The 7,969-nt window shown below is 41.3% G+C and overlaps 2 annotated features.

Moving 5' to 3' along the window:
* Nucleotides 1,165-1,843: a transcriptional cis regulatory region, noted in NCBI's record as "candidate enhancer chr4.1974 targeted for multiplex CRISPR interference". NCBI's record gives its function as "positively regulates BMP2K gene expression with high confidence in K562 cells {active_cell/tissue: K562}" and the evidence as "EXISTENCE:mutant phenotype evidence [ECO:0000015][PMID:30612741]".
* Nucleotides 2,009-2,115: a transcriptional cis regulatory region, noted in NCBI's record as "candidate enhancer chr4.1973 targeted for multiplex CRISPR interference". NCBI's record gives its function as "positively regulates BMP2K gene expression with high confidence in K562 cells {active_cell/tissue: K562}" and the evidence as "EXISTENCE:mutant phenotype evidence [ECO:0000015][PMID:30612741]".

Here is a 7,969-nt window from a genome sequence, read left to right as displayed (position 1 = left end):
ATATATTCAACTCTTTCTCTGTTGCAATCTCCCTGTCTTGATAAATCGTCTCTATCTGAGCAGCAGGCAAAATAAGCCCCTGGGGTGGTTACATTCACTAGAACTTAAATTTTGTGAGACCAGGAATTTTCATCTGTTTTGGTCCCTGCTATATCCCATATGTATGGAACAGTGTCTGGCACATGGTAGGTTCTCCATATATATTTTTGAATGAATGAATGACTAGACAGGATCTATGGCATGATGGTTAAGATACAGTCTCTGGTGTTACGCTAACTGCGATCAAATCCAAACTCTGTTCCTAGTAGTGTTAGCCTGTGTGGATACTTAACTTCCCTGTACTCATGTACTAGTTTTCTCATAGTTAAAGTGGCATTGATAATAACAGATCTTATTTCATAAGGATGTCATTAGCATGTGCTTAGAAACATGCCTATTATGTTGACTATTGTTTCATCTATCTATTGCTGTATAACAAACTATTCCAAAACATCTTGACTTAAATCAACATCTTATTTACTTGCTCATGATTCTTCCATTTGGGCAGGGCTCAGCAGGGAAAACTTGTCCCTGCTCTCTGTGATGACTGTGCATGCTGAAACATCCATGAGAGCTTCTTGGCTCATGTCTGTCACTTCAGCAAAGGCGGCTCAAATGGTTGGAGACAGGCCGGAAGAGCTTGCCTGGAATGGTACATCTGGCACCTTAGTTCTTTCCGTCAGCTGTGTTCTCAGCACTCCTCCATGTACCCAGCCTTAAGACTGCTTCCTTTCCACGTGTCCTCTCATGTGGTGTCTCCATGCAACCCTGAGCTGGCATGTAAAAAGTCTGGCTACCCTCCTTTAAGGAGTGCAAAAGTGGAAGCTTCTAGGCTTTTGAAAGCTCAGTCCTTTTAAAGGCATAAGGTCTTAAAGCTTAGGCTGCATTCTATTGGCTTTTCAACCTTGACACTATTGACATTTTTGGCAAGGTATTTTTTTGTTGTTGTGGGGGACTGTACTGTGTATTGTAGAATGTTTAGTAGCATCCCTGGCCACTACCCACTAGTACAGTAGGAATGCTAGTAGCATCCTTTCTCCACATTCCCCATTTGGGTCAAATAAAAGTGTTTCTAAACACTGCCAAATATCCCCTGGAGAACAAAATCTCTGTGAGAACCACTGGGTTAAAGTAAGTCACAGGTTCAGACCAGATTCCAGGGAGAGGATTGTCAAGGATATGAATACCAGAAAAAATGGTTCATTGAGGGCTGTCAGTGTAACAGAGTATTATTGTCTCTGAATCTTGCATCTCCAAGGAATTCATGTTCCTGAATTCTGCTCATATGTTGAGCCGTCTTTCCTTCTTCCTAATGGGCTTCTCATCCTAGTTGCTTATCTGAGTGTCCCTGCTTGTCACTAGCAGTGCTCTGCAGTTTCCAGCAGTTTGCATATCTGTGTGCTGCTCTTGGCTTCCTCTCTTGCACGACTCTAGAGATAGTCTGACATCAGACTTGCCTCTAGGGTGATTCTTTCCTCTCCCTCCCATCCCCTGTGGTTCAGTGAGTTATCTCTAGTGCTCATGTCGTAGCACATGACCAGGTTCTGGGGACAGATAAGGCTAATCTTGCAGCCTCCTAATATGTCATACTCTGTCATATCCACACGTATACTCAATTGCTCTCTCCCTAAGAGGTACTTGCTTTGCCACCCCTCCCTTCCCACTCCCAATTAACTCTTTTATTTTCTTCAAGATTCAGTTCCAGGCCTGCTTCTTCTAGGAAACCTTCCTGGAAAGCCCATTCTCTAGTCCTATTTAGCAGTTTATTGAGGGCAGAGGACATTTCATATTCATCTTCAAGTTTCCAATACAGTGTCTCTTGCATGGAAGGTATTTCTTAGATCAATACAAGAATGATTTAAAATGCAAAACAAAAAGTTTAAAATTTGAGGAGAGACTGAGAATGTGTAGAAGTGAGTCATATCATTCTCTTGGGGAGAGACTTCTGGGCAGGAGGAACAGCCAGTGCTTGGTCCCTGAGTGTGGAGTTCGCTGAGCGGGGAGTGGCTGTGATGTTTAAGAAAGACCAAAGGGACCAGCTTGGCTGGGGGAGTGAAGGAGGAGAGAGGAAGCCAGAGATGGGATCAGACAGGTAACAGAACAAAGCATCTGGCTGTGTAGGTCAAGGTAAGGGCTCTGGATTTGACTCTGAATGAGATGAGAAGCCTGGTGGAAGTTTTGTGCAGAACAGTGGCTTACACTGAACTGTATTCTTGGAGGATTGTTGTGGTTTCTGTGTTGGAAATAGAATATGACAGGGCCAGGGAGGAAGCAGCAAGACCAGTCAGAAAGCTATAGCAGTAATCTGGTGAGAGATGATAATTGCCTTTCCTGGTGGATTTGATGTGGAATATCGGAACAAGAAAGGTATCAGGGATGACCCCATGGCTTCAGCTCCGAGCAGGAAGAAGGGTGAAACATTTTCTGACAGAAAAGTCTACTTAGGGGAGGAAATGAAAAGTTTAGTATTTACATGTTAAGTGTGAGATGCTTACTGTACATTCCGTTTGTTGCACAGTAGACAGTTGGCAATAAAAGTGTGAAGTGCAGAGAGGCATATAAATTAAAGATACATAAATATGGATGTTCTTAGTTCTATTACTTAAGCTAAGATTGACTTCTGTGATTCAAACAATAACAACAAAATACAATGGTTTATTACAATAGGAGTTTATTTCTCATAATTCCATAGCCTAGGAAAATTCCAGATCATTGGCAAATTGTGACAAGACCTATTTCTGTGGAGAGTTGGGAATAAAAACCTGATTGAAGTCGTTCAACAAAGAATGAGAAAAGGGGAATTGGAAGTGGAGACTGTGTATAGACAATTCATTCAAGGAGTTTTGTTATAAAGGGGAGCCAAGAATTGGGGTGGTAGGTTGAAGGAGATGTAGGCTTGGGACATTTTGTTGTTGTTTTAATTTTTGTATTATTATTATTTTTTACCTGTGTCTAGAAACAAGTTCAGATGTTTTTAATTTTTAAGGCTTTTTTTTTTTTTTGGTCAGGCTCTGTAGCTCACTCTAGAGTACAGTGGCATGATCTCAGCTCACTGCAACCTCTGCCTCCCAGGTTCAAGCCATCCCCCGACCTCAGCCTCCTGAGTAGCTGGGACTATAGGCATGAGCCACCATGGCTGGCTATTTTTTTTGTTGAGACAGGGTCTCACTTTGTTGCCTAGGCTGGTCTCAAACTCCTGAGCTCAAGAGATCTGCCCACCTCAGCCTCCCAAAGTGAGGGATTACAGGCTGGGATTATAGGGATCCCAAAGCTGGGATTACAGGTGTGAGCCAACATACCAGGTCTCTTAAAGCATTTTTTAGTAGGAAAAATTATAGCGTGTTTATATGCTAATGGAAGTGGTTCAGTAGAAGGAAAAAGATTGATGATGCAGGAAAGAGGGAGGAGAATTTCAAGAGCCCAGTAGTTGAATAAGTAGAGAAAATGCCAACCAGAATGAAGACTTGGCTTTAGATAGGAGCAAGGATGATTCATCAATAAAAACAACAAGTGGCCGGGCACGGTGGCTCACGACTGTAATCCCAGGGAGGCAGAGGTGCGTGGATCGCCTGAGGTCAGGAGTTCAAGAGCAGTCTGGCCAACATGGTGAAACCCTGTCTCTACTAAAAATACAAAAATTAGGTGGGCGTGTTGGCAGGTGCCTGTAATCCCAGCTACTCAGGAGGCTGAGGCAGGAGAATCACTTGAACCTGGGAGGCGGAGGTTGCAGTGAGCCGAGATCGTGCCATTGCACTCCAGCAACAAGAGTGAGGCTCCATCTCAAACAAACAAACAAATGAACAAACAAACAAGCTAGCCTGAGCATATGGGCACAGAGGCAGGTAGGGGGATCAACAGGTCTGGTTTGTCTAGGACTGAGGGGTTTCTGGAATCACGGAACTTTCAGTGCCAAAACCAGGACAGCCCTTCATGAACTAGAATGGTTGGTCACCCTAGAAGTAAGAGAATTCATAGGGGGAGTTTATAGAAGTTATCTTTGGTTTGCTTTGAGCATCGCTAAACGAGAAAGGGCAAGACTTCCTCAGTGGCTTCAACTCATTAATAAAATGAGATTATAACCCATCTATGTAACCTAAAACCCAGTGTTATGCTGTGTGAGGAATATTACAATGAATAAGTTGTAGGTCCTGTTCTAGAGGAGTTTAAGCTAGTGTATGAGAAAAAAGAACATGACTACATGTAAGGCAAGCCAATCTGAGATGTCTGTAATGAGTTTATTCACTGTAACTTCTCTGAGTCATGTTCCATGTTCTTCAGGAACCTATTATCTGCTAGAGTAGATAGTACTCAGTAAAAATAATAGGAAACATTTCCTGAGATTTTACTGATTTCCAGCAGCTGTACATCCATTATCTCTTTTCATCTCCATAACAGCTTATTAGATAGGTCCAGCTATTATCACCTTCATTTTACAACAGAGAAAAAAATGCATACTGATTAAGCAATTTGCTCCAGGTCACACAGCAAGTGATGGAAGGTCTTGAACCCTGCTTGACTCTGCAGCCCAAGCTTTTAAACACAACATTACACTGCTTTCTAGAAATTATTATAATGCATGGGAATAAACTATGATTAGCACAGACAAATGTCCTAAAAATTTAGAAGAAGGCAAGGTAATTTTTGTTTGAGAAGAAGTCGTCATGAATGGAACTTGAAGAAGGTTAGTATTTCATTAGGCAGAGGTGAGGGGAGGACAGGCCAGGCAAAGTAACCTCAATAAGCACAAAAGTTCTTTTTTACCACCTCCAATTCTCATGGAGTCCCCAGCTCTGTGATCTGCTTGGTTTTCCTTCCTCTGCCTCCAAGAAGGATGTTTGAATTTTCAGAAGGTGGAATCACAGCATGAAATGATGCCTTTGACTTTCTTACATGCCTAGCTTACCTTTAGAGTTCTAGAATAGAGAACTCTGTTCGTCTTCAGGAGAATTAACACATGAGTGAATAAACGGATGAATGAATTCATTGCTTAAATACATTTTTTAAAAGTATGACACATACAGAAAAGTATGTGGACAATAAGTATCTTCATTAAGTGAACATCTGTATGACTGGCATTCAGATTACAAAACAGAGCATTACCAATACCTCGGGAGCCCTCGTTATGCTGCTTTCTAATTATTACCCCTCATTCCTTGCCAGGGATAATGACTCTCCTGACTCCTAAAATAAAACATTCACTTTCCCTGTTTTTAAACTCCGTACAAATAGAATTCTACATTTTGTTGTTTTTCGTATTTGGCTTTTTTTACTCATTATAATATTTGTGAGATTCATCCATATTATTGGATATAGCAGTAGGTTTTTCATTCTCATCACTGAATGGTATTTCACATCATGAATAGTCCAGAAAATCCCACTGTTTATTAAAGAATTCTACTCTCTATTTGTGTTGGAATAATGTCTAGTTTTTGGCTAACAATAGTTCTATCATGAACACTCTGAACTTGCCTTTTGGAAACATACTCTTTTCTTTTGAGCATAAACCTCCATGTACGTTTAGACGGATGACAGATTTTTTCTAGTGCTTTCATATTCTAGCACCTTGCTGGGCTTCCAGTACTATCCATCATGTACAGGAAAGGTTACAGGGTTAAAGTGGCCACTTATCAGTGCTCTTGGGTTTGTTGCAGAGCTTCTCACCAGATTACAAAATGTACCACGTAACTAGGCCTCCAGGATGTATTACTGAGATGAAAATCAAGTATTGCAAATAGGCTGTTTACCAAAGATCAAATAAAAGCCAACTTTACCTTCTTCCTGAGTAGCTCTGATCCAAAGCTATGAACATGGCCAATTTTTTTTTTTTTTTTTTTTTTTTTGAGATGGAGTCTCACTCTTGTCCCCCAGGCTGGAGTGCAATGGCGTGATCTCGGCTCACTGCAACCTCCACCTCCCTGCTTCAAGTGATTCTCCTGCCTCAGCCTCCCGAGTAGCTGGGATTACAAAAGCACCCGCCACCATGCCTGGCTAATTTTTGTGTTTTTTTTTAGTAGAGACGGGGTTTCACCATGTTGGTCAGGCTGGTCTCAAACTCCTGACCTCAGGTGATCCACCCACCTTGGCCTCTGAAAGTGCTGAGATTACAGGCGTGAGCCACTGTGCCTGGAGAATGGCCAATTCTTATTCCTTCCATGTAACTCCAATTGCAAAGTCCTTATAGCTAACTTGTCCTGGCCAAGGGTGTTTTAGCTGCCACTATATCTACTACATGCAACACGTGAGAGACACTCAATATTTACCTATTGGTTGACTGGTTTGATTCTTGATGGTATACTGAATCACATCCTTGTACCTTTTCATAGGGAAAATTTTCTGTACTCTTCAATGTGGTAGCCACCAGCCTTGTAAAACTATTGAGCATTTGAAATATGACTAGTGCGACTGAGGAACTAATTTTTTTAAATTTAATTTTAATATTTTTAAATTTTAAAAATGATACTTGATGCAGTTATAGAAAGTTTTAAGTGTTCTTGGACTAACTTGGCTATGTGAATCTACTTTTTCAGCTGTAAATCGTATGAAATCTAAATTCACATCAAGTATTTTTTTTGAGATGGAATCTCGCTCGGTTGCCCAAGCTTGAGTGCAGGGGTAAGATCTCTGCTCGCTGCAACCACTGCCTCCCTGGTGCAAGTGATTCTCCTGCCTCAGCCTCCCAAGTAGCTGGGATTATAGGCATGTGCCACCATGCCTGGCTAATTTTTGTATTTTTAATAGAGATGAGGTTTCATGTTGGCCAGGCTGGTCTCCAACTCCTGACCTCAAGTAATCTGCCTCCCTCCCAAAGTGCTGAGATTACAGCCATAAGCCACCACACCTGGCAATGTTTTTGATAAATATTTCACAACCAAATTGAGACATGCTACAAGTGTAAAGGACACAAAAATACATTGTATAAAAAATTTTACATTTTAAAATATTGATTATATGTTGAAATAATATTTTGGGTATGTTGGGTAAAATAAAATATATTATTTAATTTAATTTCTCTTATTTATTTTCCTTTTTATTGAGAGCACTAGTAAATTTTAAATTACACAGGTAGCTTTCATTGCATTGATTTTAGGTAGTGCTCTTCTAGAGATCCCCAAATATAATATTTCACTACAATTCCTGATAGAATCTTCTGCCTCAGGAAGCTAGGTTAATAATGTCTATTTATATAAATACAGAATATGTTCCTGAATATATAACTGATGGTCAGGAAAGGGAGGCACATTTGGTAGAGAAGAGTGAGCATGAACTGTGGAGTCAAATCTGTCTGGGTTTGTAGCCAAGCTCTGCCCCTTAAACAGTTACCTTTAATGAAGTACTTGACCTCTCTGAGTGTCGGATTTTCTCCCATGTAAATTGGGGATATGAATGCCGTAGAGCACGGGTAGGGCTCTGCCCTGATTCTGTGGGCCTCCTTCATCATTTCTGTGCAGAAAGCCCCTCTGTCATTTGCTTGCCCAGCCCATATCTGTGGCTGTCTTTGGGGAACTGCCCTTGGGCTACTGGAGCTGCTTGGGGTCATAGCCAGTGAGTGACTGGTGCAGGAGTTTGAAAGCCTAATTCTCTAACCTCAAATAAGGACAAACTTCAATGTGTAATTTACACATTACCCTAGAATACCCCAGCCCAGGCAGAGACTTTACCTGGAAAAGAGACTTTTATCCCCATCTTACACTTCTCTCTCCTGCGTCTAAGGGTCAGCTTCTGAAGAATCCAACTTGAGGCAGCTACCTACTGCCTATGTTTTTTAGGGACTAAAGGAGAAATGCCTGGCAAAGAGACCATTCTTTTTTTTTTTCCTTTCTTTTTTCTTTTTTTTTTTCTAGAGTGGTTATTGCTCCATCACCTAGGCTTGAGTGCAGTGGTGTGATCTTGGCTCACTGCAGCCTCAACCTCCTGGGCCCAAGCAATCCTC

The sequence above is a fragment of the Homo sapiens genome, chromosome 4 (assembly GCF_000001405.40).
Source record: "Homo sapiens chromosome 4, GRCh38.p14 Primary Assembly".
Lineage (NCBI taxonomy): Eukaryota > Metazoa > Chordata > Mammalia > Primates > Hominidae > Homo > Homo sapiens.
The sequence above is the reverse complement of the archived record's forward strand: the minus strand, read 5'-3'. Positions and strand labels throughout refer to the sequence as shown.